At 44.8% G+C, this 17932-nt stretch overlaps 1 protein-coding gene across 6 annotated transcripts in view, besides 2 other annotated features; it reads left to right on the forward strand.

Moving 5' to 3' along the window:
- Positions 1 to 17932, forward strand: part of SHISA9 (shisa family member 9) — a 661420-nt gene that overhangs the window by 106943 nt on the left and 536545 nt on the right. The window lies entirely within an intron of this gene.
- Positions 3488 to 4261: an enhancer, noted in NCBI's record as "H3K27ac-H3K4me1 hESC enhancer chr16:13105885-13106658 (GRCh37/hg19 assembly coordinates)". NCBI's record gives its function as "activates a minimal SCP1, AML or CMV promoter by ChIP-STARR-seq in primed H9 embryonic stem cells {active_cell/tissue: H9 hESC(primed)}" and the evidence as "EXISTENCE:reporter gene assay evidence [ECO:0000049][PMID:30033119]".
- Positions 4262 to 5035: an enhancer, noted in NCBI's record as "H3K4me1 hESC enhancer chr16:13106659-13107432 (GRCh37/hg19 assembly coordinates)". NCBI's record gives its function as "activates a minimal SCP1, AML or CMV promoter by ChIP-STARR-seq in primed H9 embryonic stem cells {active_cell/tissue: H9 hESC(primed)}" and the evidence as "EXISTENCE:reporter gene assay evidence [ECO:0000049][PMID:30033119]".

Genomic DNA, 17932 nt, shown 5'->3' on the forward strand with positions numbered 1-17932 from the left:
TGATAGTGAGTGTGTTCTCACGAGATCTGGTTGTTTGATAAGGGTCCGGTGCTTCCCCCTTTTTTCTCTCTCTCTCTCCTTCTCTCCCTCTCTCCTCCCTCCCTCCCTCCCTCCCTCCCTCCCTTCCTCCCTCCCTCCCTCTCTCTCTCTCTCTTTCCTGGCACCTTGTAAGATATGCCTTGCTTCCCCTTTACCTTCCACCATGATTGTAAGTTTCCTGAGGCCTGCCCAGCCATACAGAACTGTGAGTCAATTAAACCTTTTTTCTTCATAAATTACCCAGTCTTAAGTATGTCTTTAGAGCAATGTGAGAACAGACTAATACAGTGCCTTAAGAAATGTTTGATGACTGACTGAGTGTAATATAATGAATATAAATTATCCATAAAACAGTAGGTGGGCAACATAAGATAGCTTACAAACAAGAATCCACAGTTCCAAAGTCTTTGTCAATCAGGGGAGAAGGACTCCATAGGGGATGGAGAGTGACAAAAGTTAGCACTTCATGAATGTCCGTTATGTTCTAGGCTCTGTTCTAAGAGAGAGAGTGTGTGTGTATTTTTTTTTTTTTGAATTTAAACATCTCAGCAACTCATGGTGGGCACTGTTTTAAACCTGATTTACAAACAAGGTAGTCAAGTGGGTCACAGAAAGTTTCAGCACAGATCTTCTTAGCTGTAAGTGGAGGAGCTGGGAGTCGTCGACTCCAGGCAGTCTGGCTTTAAGCTGGGTTCAGAACCACTGTGGCTTGTAGAGGTGGTGAGACTTGATCCAGGTCTTGAATGACTGGAAGGGATTGGGAAGGACATTCAGGAAGGTGGGTCAGCCGGAGCAAAGGCACAGAGATGAGAATGCACACACCTTGCTCAGGATCATAACCTCGGAGGCTTCTTGATTTTCAGGAAGGTCTCCGTTCTGGAACTATATCATTTCCTCCTCCATTTTCCCTGCCCTTCCTCATTTATTTTCAACACTCTGGGAATGTGGGGAAGGTGAAAGGGCCAATAGCCGGAACCAGAAGCCTCCGAGGAACCTGGCTGCAGCTACTACAGCAGCAGATTCTCTTCTGTAGCTTTACTGATTTGTAATCAGAGTTTGCAAGAGTCTCAAACACACACTAAAACTTAGGTTCAAAAATCACAGAATCCCAGAAGTCTCATATCCAAGGCTGCAAACTCAAATGCCTGCAAGGGCCAAGCAGCCAAGGGGAAGAGTGAAAGGCCCAGATGCGGGATGATCAATGGCTCTGCAGATGCCCTGCCTGGAGGAGGCAATTCCCAGCTACAGCCCGTCATGGCCTGGTGGGAGTGGGGGCTTGGCATGGCCTGTTTTTCCTTTTTATAGAAACATAGAAGGCCAGGCATAGTGGCTCACACTTGTAATCTCAGCACTTTGGGAGGCTGAGGCAGGAGGATCATTTGAGGTCAGGAGTTTGACACCAGCCTGGATAATATAGAGAGATCCAGCTCTGCAATCAAATAAAAAAAATTAGCTGGTTGTGGTGGTACACACCTGTGGTCCCAGCTACTCGGGAGGCTGAGGCAGGAAGGTCGCTTGAGCCCAGGAGGTTGAGACTGCAGTGACCTATGATTTTGCTACTGCATTCAGCCTGGGTAACAGCGAAATCTTGTCTCGAAAAAAGAAAAAAAGAGAAGCCAGAACTCCAATTTCAAAAAGATGAAACATTCCAAATTTTAAATACTGGAATAAATTAATTAAAAAATAAAACCTCTTTGCAGGTTGACATTAAGGACATCAAACAAAATGCATTAATGTTTCAAATTGGTTACTGAGTCCCTGTGTTAAGACCCCCACCAGACAATAGGATATTGTACTTAAACCAACAGTATCTTAGACTTAGAGAATCGTAGCTTCAGGATCATTACTGTCATAGATTCTTAGACTTAACACTGTCTCTGAGGATACTTGACATGTTGAATCATTAAAATAATAGACATAGAATTTTAGCTGAGATCTCAGGTACATAGAATCATAAAAGCAGACAATCAGAATCAGCAGCATTATAGGTCTTTTTCTCATTAACCTTTAAAATCTTATCATCAAGTACTACTGGGATCAGAATTCCTCTACACTGAGTATCTGGCTTTTGAAAAATGCTAGTTGAATAATGGTTGGGTGTGGTGGTTCTTGCCTGTAATCCAGCACTTTGGGAGGCCAAGGCGGGCGGATCACCTGAAGTCAGGAGTTCGAGACCGGTCTGGCCAACATGGTGAAACCCCGTCTCTACTAAAAATACAAAAATCAGCCGGGCATGGTGGTGCATGCCTGTAATCGCAGCTACTTGGGAGGCTGAGGCACAAGAATCGCTTGAACCCAGGAAGCAGAGGTTGTAGTAAGCCGAGATAGAGCCACAGCATTGCAGCCTGGACAACAAAGTGAGACTCTGTCTCAAATTTTTAAAAAAGCTAGTTAAATAAATATTCTTATCAAGTTTCTGAATGGGATCCTTCCTCTCCGATATTCTTGCTAATATCTTCCACAAATATTTTTATTGAGCACCTAATACGGGCAGCAGTGAACCAGAGAGACTAAGAGCCTGTTGTAATGGAGTTTACGTTCTTGCTCAGGTGGGCAGGCGGTGAACACACACAAATGATGATTTTAGACAGTGAACCTTTCTTTTATTTTATTTCTTAAAAATAAATTTTATTGTGTATATTTAAGGTATACAACATGATGTTATGAGATGCGTGTAGATAGTAAAATAGTTACTATAGTGAAGCAAATTCACATAACCATCATCTCATATTAGCACTCATTTTTTTTTTTTTTTTTGGCAAGAGCAGCTACAATCTACTCATTTAGCACAAATCCCCAATACACTACACTATTAGTAACCACAGTTCTCATGTTTAGATCTCTAGACTTGCTCATCCTACATATCTGCTATTTTGTGTCCTTTACCCACATCTCCTCATTTCCTCGTCCCACCCCATCCCTGGTAACCTCTATCTCTGTATATTTGACTTTCTTTTTTGGAGTTGGAGTCTTGCTCTTTCGCCCAGGCTGGAGTGCAGTGGTGCCATCTCGGCTCACTGCAAGCTCTGCCTCCCGGGTTCATTCCATTCTCCTGCCTCAGCCTCCTCAGTAGCTGGGAGTACAGGCACCCGCCACCATGCCTGGCTAATTTTTTGTATTTTTAGTGGAGACAGGGTTTCACCGTATTAACCAGGATGGTGTCGATCCCTTGACCTCGTGATCCGCCTGCCTCGGCCTCCCAAAGTGCTGGGATTACAGGCGTGAGCCACCGTGCCTGGCCTTTGACTTTTTTTTTTTGTTTTTGAGACAGAGTCTTGCTCTGTTGCCCAAGCTGGAGTACAGTGGCATGATCTCAACTGACTATAACCTCCACTTCCCAGGTTCAAGCGATTCTCATGCCTCAGCCTCCCGAGTAGCTGGAACTACAGGCATGAGCCGCCACACCCAGCTAATTTTTGTATTTTTCGTAGAGGCAGGGTTTTGCCATGTTGGCCAGGCTTGTCTCGAACTCCTGACCTCATGTGATCCACCCACCTCGGCCTCCTAAAGAGCTGGGATTACAGGCATGAACCACTGTGCCCAGCCCTTTTTTTTTTCTTATTTTTTAAGGTTCCACATATAAGTGAGATCACACAATATTTGTCTTTCTGTGTCTGGCTTATTTCCCTTACAGAGTGAACATTTTTAAGGAGAAATGACACAGAATAATATTATAGAGAGTGACCCTGGGGTGAGAAGATGGGGCTACCTTAGGTGTTCAAGTGGCCCTCTCTGCAGAAGTGACCTGGGAGAGGAGAATGGAATAATGAGGAGGAATCAGCCAGGGAATATTTGGGGGAAGAGAGTTCCAGACAGAGGGAACGTGAGTGCAAGGGCCCTGAGGTCAGGCTGAGCTTGTATGATGGAGGTGTAGGAAGACACCCAATGTGGCCATAGCACAGGGACTGGGGAGGGAGAGTGCGGGGGATGAGACCAAACAACTGGACAAGGATGCACACGCTTTTCATTTCAAATAAATAATGAGAAACTTCTGGTACCCTGGTACTAAACAAGCTACCTTCTACACATTGCAGGGAAATGCTTGCTAAGTGTTTTAGATGAAACAATCAGGTCACAGAGAAGGAGGTGGGGCTTAGTTAGGGCTGCCTTTAGCCACAGCATCATAAAGGGCCTGCAGGGGAATTTCCTCAATGCTTTTGTAAGCATTCTGCTTGATACTTACACCACTTGCCCATTACTGCTGCCTTGCCACAGCCCCTCCTCCCTGGTCTTGTAGTGCTGGGTCCTGTGTCTCCAACAGTCAGCCACGGCCAGACAGGGAGGAGAGACAACTTTCAAAAGGGTGTGTGAGTGCTGTGACAGCCTCTGTGCTTGCCATCTCCATGGTACCCAGGCAGGGGGACAATCTAATTAGGCTATTTTCGGCATCCCGGAGGGAGGGGCGTGGAGGGAGACAGGGAGAAGGGGACCTGCCTCTCCTGCTGCCTGTCTCTCTCTCTCTTCCTTTCTGAAGCTATTATTGATTAAGCAGTTAAAGGCCGAGGAAGCAGGACCTTTCCATGATCTGTGCTAGGATCAGAGGAGTCTTTCTGGCAACTTGGTGGGCCTTGTGAACAGCATCAGGAACCCTGGGGCTGGAAGGCTTCCCAGTGCTCGGTGCTAATGAGCTCTGGAGCCTACAGCTTTGACCGGAATCACGTCCTCTGCAGGCTGTTTGTCCTCTGCTGGGGCTAGCTGCCACCAGCTTCCTCTGAAATGATGGGCCCAGAGTCAAGGACGCCTATAGCCCTTTGTTTCTTAGCCTGGGGCCTGTCCTGGCTTTAGAGGTGTTTGTCTGTGATATTCAGAGCCTGGCCGGGGGAAACTGAACTTTCATCTGCCTGGAACATGTGGCTGGTGGCTCCTGGAAGGGATTCATGGGTTGTCAATGGAACCACACTTGACTCTAAGTTCCGCGTGGCTAGGGATCACGGTCAGTTTGCTCAGCCCATGCCCCAGAGTCTAGACTTCCTACATGCTAAACAGTTATTCATCAAATATCCTGTTATAAGCCTGTAGGAAGGGTGTCTCCTAAAGGGTCTTCTCTTTTCACCCATGAGGCATCACTGTCACATCCCTTCACTGGCCACTGCTTTGCCCAGGTGTGCTAGATCTAGAGGTTAATGTGGTCAAACAAGGCTGGAAAATAATACCTTTTTTTTTTTTGAGACGGAGTCTCGCTCTGTCGCCCAGGCTGGAGTGCAGTGGCGAGATCTCAGCTCACTGCAAGCTCCGCGTCCCGGGTTCACGCCATTCTCCTGCCTCAGCCTCCTGAGTAGCTGGGACTACAGGTGCCCGCCACCAGGCCTGGCTAATTTTTTTTGTATTTTTAGTAGAGACGGGGTTTCACCATGTTAGCCAGGATGGTCTCGATCTCCTGACCTCGTGATCTGCCCATCTCTGCCTCCCAAAGTGCTGGGATTACAGGCGTGAACCACCGGGCCTGGCCTGAAAATAATACCTTTAAAGCCCTTGCCATATTTAGGAACTGTGTCAGGAGGTGCACCTGCCTCATAAGAACTCAGTGAGACAGGCAAATCCTACAAGGCTATTATCCCCATTTTACAGATGAGGAAACTGAGGCAGAGAGCAGTTAGAGCAATGTGCCCAAGACAATACAGTTGGTGTCAGAGTTGAGATTAAAACCCAGATGTGCCTGAATCCAGAGCCATCCTCCCAGGTAAAGCATTTACGTGGGATTCTCAGCTTCAGGACTCACTGGAGTGTTTAACAGGTTAACGTGAGTTATAAATCTCAAAGAAAGGGCATTTCCTAAAATCATTTGACCCTTCCCTTTTTGTTTTTTCTGAGCCCACTTGTTAACGTCCTCTGATGGCAGTTTGGGAAGGGCTGCTAGGAGGTAATTAAGCAGAGCAAGTGATAATGTCCTTAATTAATCCAATCCACTGTCTTTCAATTGTGCTTATTTCCTTATCTTGGAGATTGCTTCAACAGGAGGCCTTTAAACATTAAACCACTGGTTATTCCTTCTGACTCCAGAATGAGCATGAACACCCAAAGCAGCTATTTCAAAGAGCATCTCATCTCGGGTTACTGCTTTGCACCAACCTGAGATGTGGTGCTGTCTGTTACAGCAGAGAGCTGGGAGGAATTCTGAGCCGGGGGTGGAATTCAGGATGTTAACCTGCAGCTGAAGGCTGCTAACCCCTCCTCTTCCCCCATACAAATGCCTTGATGAATCAGGCCTCACAGTGGGACTTTGTTCTTTTGTTTGAAATATTATGAACTCACAAGACTTCAAAGACACTCCTGTGATGTTTTCCATTGCCATATTCCTTTTCACCCATTATTTAGTTATTTGGCATGTTCGGATACTGCCTTGAAGGCAGGGATCTCACCTATATGCCTCTTCCCCACTCAATGTCCAGCAGAGGGTTGGACATGAAGATATCCTAATAAATGGCTGGTTAGTGGATTCTCTCCTTTCATCAGCATTGCTCTCCACATCATCAAAGCTACCATTTATTGATTGTCTCGTATGTGTAGGTATTGGGCTGTACGCTCTGTAGTTAGGAGTCAGCCACACTGCAGCCTATGGGCCAAATCTGGCCTGCCGCCTGTTTTATTTTTACTGGAATGCAGCCATGCTTATTCATTTATGTATTGTCTGTGGCACCTTTTGTGCTGCAATGACATGGTTGAGTAGTTGGGATGGAGATTATATGGCCCCACAAAGCCTAGAATATTAACTATCTGCCCCTTTCAGAAAAAGTTTACTGACCTCTGCTTTAGCTATAATGAATACATAATCTTTTAATAGTCTTGTGACAATCTTGAAAGGCAATGCTGCCATTTCACAGATGAGAAGGTCAAAGCTCAAAGATGTTAAACAATTTGCCCAACTGATGAGTGGGAGATCCGATGTTTGGACTCCAGTCGGCATCTCCAAAGCCAGTATTCTTTACTCCACTCTATGCTCCCCAACAAACTGAAAACAAACTAAATATATTTTTACCCCTCATTTTTGAACCAATGCTTTTGAGCATCTGGGGTTGATTCTACTGGGACTGCAAAGTCAATGCTAGCGTAAAATTGCCCCTAAAGGCATGCAGGCTTCCTGGGTAGTTGGTAGCTGAAGGGGACTGTTACCCTATGCGTAGATACACCGGTTCCCTACTGGAGATCAAAGGTTTCCGGAGTAGCTGATTCATCAACACCCTTGAAATCTGGCGTCAATTTCACAAAGAGAAATTTCTTTCTTTCTTTAAGTTTGTTTGTTTGTTTCTCTCTCTCTCTTTTCTTTCTTTCTTTCCCTTTCTTTCTTTCTTTCTTTCTTTCTTTCTTTCTTTCTTTCTTTCTTTCTTTCTTTTCTTTCTTTCTCCTTCCTTCCTTCTTTCCTTCCTTCTCTCTTTTCCCTTCCCTTCCCTTCCCTTCCCTTCCCTTCCCTTCTTTTCTTTTCTTCCTTGAGACAGAATCTCACTCTTTTGCCCAGGCTGGAGTACAGTGGCATGATCTTGGCTCACTGCAACCTCCGCCTCCTTGGCTCAAGCAGTTCTCCTGCCTTAGTTTCCCAAGTAGCTGGAATTACAGGCCTGTGTCTGCTAATTTTTTGTATTTTTAGTAGAGACAGAGTTTCACCATGTTGGCCAGGCTGGTCTTGAACTCCTAAAGTGATCTGCCTATCTTGGCCTCCCAAAGTGTTGGGATTACAGGTGTGAGCCACTGCACCTGGCTAAATTAATTTCTTTAGCTTCTCAGCCTCTGACGGCTTCAACATCCCTGATGCTTTAACCTGGAAAGTAGTCCTCATTCCTAGTCTTTTTGCACACTGTGGATTTTAGAGCCATCTAAATATTTGCTGACTTCTTTGAACAGGGGAATAGAGAATGAGTAAGAAAGATCAGTTCACAAACATACGTCCAAGTGGTTGGTTGTGTAATGGGCAGTGGTGAGGGCAGAGAATATTAATGCCTCTGGGAAGAAGACTCAGGTGAGCTAGTCTTCAAGTTTTTGGTAGTGGTTTTTTGTTGTTGTTGTTGTTGTTGTTTTTTGCTGTTTTTTGCCGTTTTTGTTTATATTAGGCAAATCCTACAAGGCAAATTAACCAAACTGAAACTCAGAGCACATTTTGTTTCATTTATTGATTTATTTTTCTGGCCTATGACTATATTTACATGTAAAATTTTACAAAAGCATTCATTCATATGTTTACGGAGAGAACTGTAGGAAAAAGAATGAGATCAAGACCATCTTGGAAAATCAGGGACATGTTGTTGTGGTACTTTTTAGTCACACTTTGGGGACATTAAAAAATATAGTCCCCAAGGAGGGCAATTTTGTCCTTGTGAGCATTCCACGATATTAGGAATTTCAAAATACATTTTTAGGGAAAGAGTAGGGGCCTGTGAATGTGTACATGTATGCTGGGGTCTCTGATCTCGGGTACCTTTCTTCTTCTTCTTCTTTTTTGTTTCTTTTTTCTTTCTTTTTTTTTTTTGAGACGGAGTCTTGCTCTGTCACCCAGGCTGGAGTGCAGTGGCCTGATCTTGGCTCACTGCAACCTCCGTCTCCTAGGTTTAAGTGATTCTCCTGCTTCAGCCTTCCAAGTAGCTGGGATTACAGGCCCCCGCCACCATGCCTGGCTAATTTTTGTATTTTCAGTAGAGATGGGGTTTCACCATGTTGGCCAGGCTGGTCTCAAACTCCTGACCTCAGGTGATCCGCCCGCCTTGGCCTCCCAAAGGGCTGGGATTACAGGTGTGAGCCACAGTGCCCGGCCTGTTCTTCTGAAAGTATGAAATTTGGGATTCTGTGCAATGCATTTTCCCCAATTTATCTCATTATCACATTGTCAGCCTTCCATGTTGGAATCATTACCTCATTTTGCAAACAAGGGAATTGAAACTCAAAATTGTTAAGCAATTTGCTGAAAGTCTCATAGCTACTGGCTAAACTGGGATTCCCATTTAGATCTGTCTTATTGAAAGTCTGTATTCTTTGACAATGATGATATCATCATTATCAACAACAATAATTCGTTGACTGGTATTGAGTGTCAATCATATGCAGGCACTGTGCTGAATGCTTTCCATGGATTATCTCATTGAATCTTTATTCAGTGTAGGTTATACATTATCCCCATTTTATAGGTAAGAAAAACTGAGGTTTAGAATAGTTAAGTAGTAGACTCAAGGCCCCTCAGCTTCAAAGCACTGGGGACAGAGCTCATATACTTCATTGTGTGATACCAGTGCTGCAAGGACATGAACACTGCTAACTGGTGATCTACTCAAGTCTTACTAGTTCATGCATTCAATCCAGAATGTCTTTGCCTTGAGGGCTATCACATTCAATCCCCTTGTTCAATGAAAAAATTAGCTGAGTTTTAAGGAAATCCCCTCCCACCTGTATTCCCTTCTCAAAGGAAATTTTTGGCTACTTAAAAGAGAACGTTCTGGACTTGGCTTTCTTCCTTATAACAACCAAGACCATTCACTCTTACCTAAATCCTGTGTTGTCCTCTGCTGAGGAGCTAGCTCAGAGTGCTGACCCTTGGCCCGACAGGGATGGTGACTTCTGGAGCCTTGACCAGGTCAGCTGTTCTTCTCCCTCCTAAGTTCCTTGCTCTGTTTTGGATACATTCTCCATCAGCACAGCTTCACAGTGGGTAGGGTTTATTCGGCTACTGCTGGCGTGGCTTCCCTTTGTCATTCATTCTTTGCCTCCAAAGGCCTGATCCCAAATCTAGCAAGAGGGATCTGGCCTCCAATTTGAATCTAGTCTCACGCAGGTTGGCCCTGCTTCCTGAAGAAGCTGTCGCAATGGCCAGTGAAGACCAGCTTTTTGGTATTGCCTGTTTCCTTTCTGTTCTTCTCTCCTACTCTCAGTCTGTCTACCCCACCTGCTAGCATTTGCCCAGCACCCAAATCCTCCACCTCATGGCTTACCTTTTACAAGCTGTAACTTTGAGCAAGATGTGGGAAGAGGCGAAGGTTCCATCGGGATGAAGGCGATTTGCAGTGGGGTGGAGGGAAGAGTCCCAGGCAGGGGGTGTGGAGACTTCTCAGTGCCTTGTTTCCATCTCAGTCATTTCCAGTCCAGGAGAGGCACTGCAGCTGGTGATATTTCCAAAGCGTACATCTGCTCAAAATCCTTTATTGATTCCTAGTCGCCTGTCAACTTTGGCGACACAAATTTGAATGTGCATAAATACCAGCTGGTGAGTGTGTGAAAATGCTGATTCCTAGGTGAGCACTCTCAGAGATCCTGATTCAGTTCAGGGGGTAATCTGTGTGTGCCAGAGCCTATGTGTGATTATGATGCAGATGGTCCCAGAACCGAAGAACGCTGGAAAGCCTTGACCTACAAAGTGCAAACTCCTCAGCCCATGCATTACTTTGCTCAAGCTACCATAGCAAAGTATCATAGACTGAGTGCCTTAAGTAACAGAAATGTATTTTCTTTTTTTTCTTTTTTTGAGACAGAGTCTTGCTCTGTTGCTCAGGCTGTAGTGCCGTGGCACGATCTTGGATGATTGCAACCTCCACCTCCCCAGTTCAATAGATTCTCCTGCCTTACCCTCCCGAGTAGCTGGAATTATGGGCACTCACCACCATGCCCAGCTAATATTTATATTTTTAGTAGAGATGGGGTTTCACCATGTTGGCCAGGCTGGTCTTGAACTCCTGGCCTCAAGTGATCTACCTGCCTCGGCCTCCCAAAGTGCTGAGATTACAGACGTGAGCCACCACGCTTGGCCAGACATTTATTTTCTTACAGTTCTGGAGGCTAGAAGTCCAAGATCAAGGTTCCGGCAGATCCATTTTCTGGTGGGGGAAGCCTTCCCGGCTTGCTGAAGGTGGCTTCTTACTATGTCCTCATGTGGCCTTTCCTCAGTGGGAGAGCTCTCTGGCGTCTCTTTTTTTTTTCAGATTTTTAAAAAAATTATTATTGTGGTTAACTATACATAATCACAAAGTCTCTGATTTTAGCTATTTTTAGGTGTACATTTAATGGCGTTAGGTACATTTGCAGTGTTGTGCAACTGTCACCACTCTTCATTTCCCGGTCTTTTTTTTAAACTTTTAAGTTCAGGGGTACAAGTGCAGGTTTGGTACATAGGTAAACTTGTGTCACTGGGGTTTGTCGTATAGATTACTTCATCACCCAGGTATTAAGCCTAGTACCCATTAGTTGTTTTTCTTCCTTCTTTTCTTTTCTTTCTTTTCTTTCTTTCTTTCTTTCTTTCTTTCTTTCTTTCTTTCTTTCTTTCTTTCTTTCTTTCTTTCTTTCTTTTTCCTTCCTTCCCTCCCTCCCTCCCTCCCTCCCTCCCTCCCTCCCTCCCTTCTTTCTTTCTTTCTTTCTTTCTTTCTTTCTTTCTTTCTTTCTTTCTTTCTTTCTTTCTTTCTTTCTTTCTTTCCCTCCTTCTTTCCTTCCTTCCTTCCTTCCTTCCTTCCTTCCTTCCTTCCTTCCCTCCTTCCTTCCTTCTCTTTCTTTCTTTTTTTTTGACAGAGTCTTGCTGTGTCACCCAGGCTGGAGTGCGGTGCCTTGATCTTGGCTCACTGCAACTTCTGCCATCCAGGCTGAAGCAATTCTCCTGCCTCAGCCTCATGTGTAGTTGGGATTAGAGGCAAGTGCCACCATGCCTGGCTAATTTTGTATTTTTAGTGGAGACAGGATTTCACCATGTTGGCCAGGCTTGTCTTGAACTCCTGACCTCAGGTGATCTGCCCACCTCAGCCTCCCACAGTGCTGGGATTACAGATGTGAGCCACCATGCCCAGCCCATTAGTTGTTTTTCTTGATTCTCTTGCATCCTCTGACCCTCACCCTCCAAAAGGCTCCAGTGTGTGTTGCTCCCCCGTATGTATCCATGTGTTCTCGTCATTTAGCTCCCATTTGTAAGTGAGAACATGCGGTATTTGGTTTTCTGTTCCTGTGTTAGTTTGCTAAAGATAATGGCCTCCAGCTCCATCCATGGTGTCTCTTCTTATTGGATTCGTACCTCATTTAACCTTAATGACTTCCTTAAAGGTCCCAACTCCAAATACAGACACATATTTGTGGAGTCAAGGCTTCAGCATATGAATTTACAGGGGACCCAATGTTTCCATCCATAATAATATGGCACTCAAGATGTATTGAGAAGGACCTCGTCTCTGCGTATCCTTTGTATCTCCACCATCCCTTCTCTTTTGCATATTAGGATCCAAACATACTAAATGATACCAGACCTCTGGTATTTTGGAAGGATAGGTTCCTAGCTGTTTGTAGTTCTAATTGTCATGTATTCAGGGTGTAAATTGGATAACCAGATTTCTGTCACTTACCCTTCTTTGAGAGCATTATACGCAAGGGCAAAAGGCCCTGCTGGATTCTTAGCTGTGACCACATAATATCTCCCCAGTCCCGGGATTCTCTGGTGATTGGTGCTGGGGCAAGATGCTTGGGTGTAGAAACTGAAATAGTGACTTCTACTCTTGGCTCTCTCGAATCTAGAAGGGCTGGGTGAATTAAGGAGATGTTGAACTTGGCTATTCAACTTTATGGACGGCAATAGCTATATGGTCCTGCTGTCTCCTTGAGTGCTAGACCTCTCTCGAAGCGATGGCTCTCAACCAGGGACAATTTTGCCTCCCTCCTACCTCCTTCAGGGTGTTTGGTGGCATTTGGAGACATTTTTTATTGTTACCACTGGGAAAGGTTGATGGCTCCTGGCATCTAGTGAGTAAAGGCCAGGGACGCTGCTCAAATATCTTACAATACACAGGACCCTACCCTAACCCCAATACTCATGAACAGTGAGAAACTATCCAAACGGTAGTGCTGAGGTTGAGAAGTCCTGCTCTAGAAGTTCTCCTGAGAGTGCATTTACCACATAGAGATGGAAGCCGAAGAGTCTCCCATGCATGGGGACAGGAAGTGAGTTAGGGAGAGGGGCTTGGCTTCTGATACTTCAGGCTTAGTTATCACACCCACTAGTAAAACGTGGCTCAACCCATGTACCTGACTCAGAACAATCAGATGAACAACATCTCTTTCATAAAAGGCAGGAAGGCCGGGAGCAGGATGAAGAAGAAACGGTACCTGAGCTCTGATACCAATATTTTAAGAGGATTCTTATAAAACTCAGCATAACTTTATTTCCTCTTGGAATTTCCTCTGAATCTCTAGGTATATTGGATGTCCCCTTTTCTGAGTTTCTAGAATACCCCCTGTGTCATTTATTATAACACTTATGACACTATTATAATAGTCTATTTATTAGACAGGAATAACTGACCATTCTTTTCTCCATGGGCTGAGGGGGCAGCCTGGGAAGAGAAAGCATAGTAGTGTCCTAGGGCTGCCGTAACAAATGACCACACACTGCATGGTTTTGAAACAATAGAAATTTATTTTCTTACCAATTTGGAGGCAGTAAGTCTGAAATCAAGGCTTTGGTGGGGCTGCGCTCCCTCTGAGGTCTCGAGAGAGAATTCTTCCTAGCCTCTTCCAGCTTCTGGTGGCTCCAGGCTTTCCTGGGCTTGTGGGTGCATAATTCCATTTCCTGCCTCTGTCTCCACATGGCCTTGTTCCTTCTGTATCTGCGTGTCTCAAATCTCCCCCTGCCTTACTTTTTATTTTTTCAAGTCAGAGTGTTGCTCTGTTGCCCAGGCTGGAGTGCAGTGACTCAATCACAGCTCACTGCAGCTTTGAATTCCTGGACTGAAGCCATCCTCTCACCTCAGCCTCTCGAGTAACTGGGACGACAGGCATGCACCACAAGGTCTGGCTAATTTTTACATTAAAAAAATTTTTTTTTTTTCGAGACAGAGTTTCGCTCTTGTTGCCCAGGCTGGAGTGCAGTGGCACGGTCTTGGCTCACTGCAACCTCTGCCTCCCGGGTTCACGCGATTCTCCTGCCTCAGCCTCCCAAGTAGCTGGGGTTACAGGCATGTGCCACCACACCCGGCTAATTTTTTATTGTTAATAGAGACGGGGTTTCACCATGTTGGCCAGGCTTGTCTTGAACTCCTGACCTCAGGTGATCCACCTGTCTCGGGCCTCCCAGAGTGCTGGGATTACAGTTGTAAGCCACCGCGCCCAGCCTTAATTTTATTTTTACAAGATATGGGGGTCTCACTCTGTTGCCCAGGTTGGTCTTGAACTCCTGGGCTCAAGTGATCATCCTGCCTAGGTGTCCCGAGTAGCAGGGCCTACAGGTGCACACCACCACACCCAGCTAATTATTTCATTTTTCAAAGAGACAGGGTATCACTATGCTGCCCAGGCTAGTATCAAACTCCTGGGCTCAAGCAGTCCTCCTGCCTCTGCCTCCCAAAGTGCTGGGAGCCAGCATACCCAGCACTCTGCCTTACTTGTATAAGGACATCTGTCACTGGATTTAGGGGCCACCCCATAATCCAGGATGATGTCATCTTGAGATTAACTTGATCACATCTGCAAAGACCCGTTTTTCTTTCTTTCTGTCTTTTATTTATTTATTTTTTATTATACTTTAAGTTCTAGGGTACATGTGCACAATGTGCAGGTTCGATACATAGGTATACATGTGCCATGTTGGTTTGCTGCACCCATCAACTCATCATTTACATTAGGTATTTCTCCTAATGCTATCCCTCCCCAAGTCCCTGACCCTGCAACAGGCCCTGGTGTGTGATGTTCCCCACCCTGTGTCCAAGTGATCTCATTGTTCAATTCCCACCTATGAGTGAGAACATGCGGTGTTTGGTTTTCTGTCCTTATGATAATTTGCTGAGAATCATGGTTTCCAGCTTCATCCATGTCCCTGCAAAGGACATGAACTCATCCTTTTTTATGGCTGCACAGTATTCCATGGTGTATATGTGCCACATTTTCTTAATGCAGTCTATCATTGATGGACATTTGGGTTGGTTCCAAGTCTTTGCTATTGTGAATAGTGCCGCAATAAACATACATGTGCATGTGTCTTTATAGTAGCATGATTTATAATCCTTCGGGTATATACCCAGTAATGGGATTGCTGGGTCAAATGGTATTTCTAGTTCTAGATCCCTGAGGAATCGCCACACTGTCTTCCACAATGGTTGAACTAATTTACACTCCCATCAACAGTGTAAAAGTATTCCTATTTCTCCATATCCTCTCCAGCATCCGTTGTTTCCTGACTTTTTAATGATTGCCATTCTAACTGGCGTGAGATGGTATCTCATTGCGGTTTTGATTTGCATTTCTCTGATGACCAGTGATGATGTGCATTTTTTCGTGTGTCTGTTGGCTCCATAGATGAAAGACCTCTTTTTCTAAATGAGGTCACATTCATAGGTTCTGGAGGTTAGGACATGGTCATATCTTTCAGAGGGACATTATTCAGCCCACTCCAGATGGGGGTAAAACACAAAGATGGGAAGGGATGATAACAACACATTGTAGGATATGATTTACCACCTACAACTCTGGGAACAGAGAGGCTGAGGAACAGAAGAAAGTAAGAGTAATTAGATGCCTTTTATGTGCGAGGAACTGGGTTAAAGCTCTTCATTTCTCATCTCCATTAATCCTCACTAACACTTAGTGGATTGGTTATCTCCATTTTAAAGGTGGAGAGAGAAGTTCAGAGAAGGTATACAGGTAGCTCAAGCACCTACAGAACAAATTGAGCCCAGGTCTGCTGTTTCCAGAGCCCATACTCTTTCTAGGATAAAGGAAGCATTTGCATGGCCTCTTACTGGCAGCTGTAGGGAGGGACCAAGCCCAGAACATCTCATTTGCAACAGAGAAGGTGTCATTGCTCTTCCTGGGCTTCCAACAGCCTGGTGCTCACCTGCCTGCCTTTGGCAGCTGGAGCCCAGGTGCTGGACAGCCCAGTTGGCCCAGAGCCTCTTGAGGTGGGGATGTGGTGACAGATTTTGGCTGGTTCAGATGCAACACCCTTTTTGGCACCTGTGGCCATTTGGCACTGTGGGGGAGCCAGTCCCATACATATGTATTAAAGGATTTGGATTCCTTACTCCCACCAGTGCTGGGATTCATGCAAGCTGAGCAGGATTTTCTGAGAGGCAGTGTACTGTGATAGAAAGAGAAAGTTGAAATGCGAGAGATCTGGGTTCAAATCTTATTTTTGCCACTTATGGGCTGTATGACAAGTGAGCTATTTCACTTCTCTGAGCCTCAGCTTCTTCTACTGTAAAGTAGGGGGTGACAATACCCATTTCCACAGAGCTTCCACATACGGCACTTTGAACAATGCCTGCTACACAGTAGACCCTCAAAGTTCCTGTGTTGGCTGAATCTGCAGGTCCCTGTGATACTTCCTGACGCCTGGTTAGCATCTATCTCTGCTTGCATGAAAGTAGCCTCTGTGCAGCCAGGATCTCAATTGCCAATAACATCTGTCAAATGCAAGTGTGAACCTTGCTGCTAGTGCAAGGGGCAGATATTGGGGAAGGATGTCTTATCTCATGCATGCTCATAATTACCTGGACATTGATACCAACATGTTAAGAGGGTTCTTATAGAACAGCATAACATCATTTCCTCTTGGATTTTTTTCTGAATCTCTAGGTATATTAGATTTCCCCTTTTCTGAGTTTCTAGAATACCCTGTGTTTCATTTATTATAACACTTATGACATTATTATAATTGTCTATTTATTATACAGGGATACATTTGTAGGCAAGGGCTAATTATTACTTTCCTCTATCTTTCTAGACCAGTAATTTTCAACATTTGTTTCTTAGACCAGCAACGACATTACCTGGAAACTTGTTAGACCTACAAATTCTCAGGACACACTGCAGACCTGCTGAATTAGAGACTCTGGGTGTGAGGCCTGGCAATCTGTATTCACAAAGCTTTCATGTGATTCCGATGATGCTTAGGTTGAAACACCACTTCCCTAGATGACTGGTCCTTAACTTTGGAGGAACTCCTGGATCCTGGAACCCCTGAGGAGCTTTAGAAAATAGCGATGCCTCTGTCCCACCTCTAGAGGTGCTGACCTAATTGTTGAGGGGTGTGAACTGGGTTGAAATTCTTTAAAATCTCCAGAGGATCCTAATATTGAGCCAGGGGTGGGAATCACCAACACACAGCCCCATTCCTAATAGTCACTTAATAGTAGAACATAATAGTTGAGTGCCTCCTTGGCAATCTCATAGACGTAGGTCACATGCTGACCTCCTTCTTCCTAACTGCGGGTCAGTTCTTTTTTTTATTTTTTACTTTTTATTTTTACTTTTTTATTGTAAGAACACTTAACATGAGATCAACCCTCTTAACAACATTTTTTTTGGGGGGGATGGAGTTTTCCTCTTGTTGCCCATGCTGGAGTACAATGGTGTGATCCTGGCTCACTGCAACCTCCACCTCCCAGGTTCAAGCGATTCTCCTGCCTCAGCCTCCTGAGTAGCTGGGATTACAGGCATGCACCACCATGCCCAGCTAATTTTGTAATTTTAGTAGAAACAGGGTTTCTCCATGTTGGTCAGGCTGGTCTCGAACTCCCGACCTCAGATGATCCACCAGCCTCAGCCTCCCAAAGTGTTGGGATTACAGGCGTGAGCCACCGCGCCCACCTTAACAACATTTTAAGTGTATAATACAGTATTGTTAACTATAGGGACAATGCTGTGTGGCAGATTTCTAGAATGTATCCATCTTGTACAATTGAGACATTTTTGCCCATTGATTAGCAACTCCCAATTTTCCCCTCCCTATCCCCCGGCAACTACCCTTCTACTTTCTGTTTCTTTGAGTTTGATGACGTTAGAGTCCTTATTGAAGTGGAATCATGCAGCATTTGTCCCTTTGTGACTGATTTATGCATTTAGCATAATGTCCTCAAGTCTTATCTATGTGTCTTACGTAACAGGATTCCCCTCTTTTTCAAGGCTGAATACTATTCCATTGTATGACTACATCTACTACAGTTTCTTTCTGCATTCA

The sequence above is a fragment of the Homo sapiens genome, chromosome 16, assembly GCF_000001405.40.
Source record: "Homo sapiens chromosome 16, GRCh38.p14 Primary Assembly".
NCBI classification, from domain to species: Eukaryota; Metazoa; Chordata; class Mammalia; order Primates; family Hominidae; genus Homo; species Homo sapiens.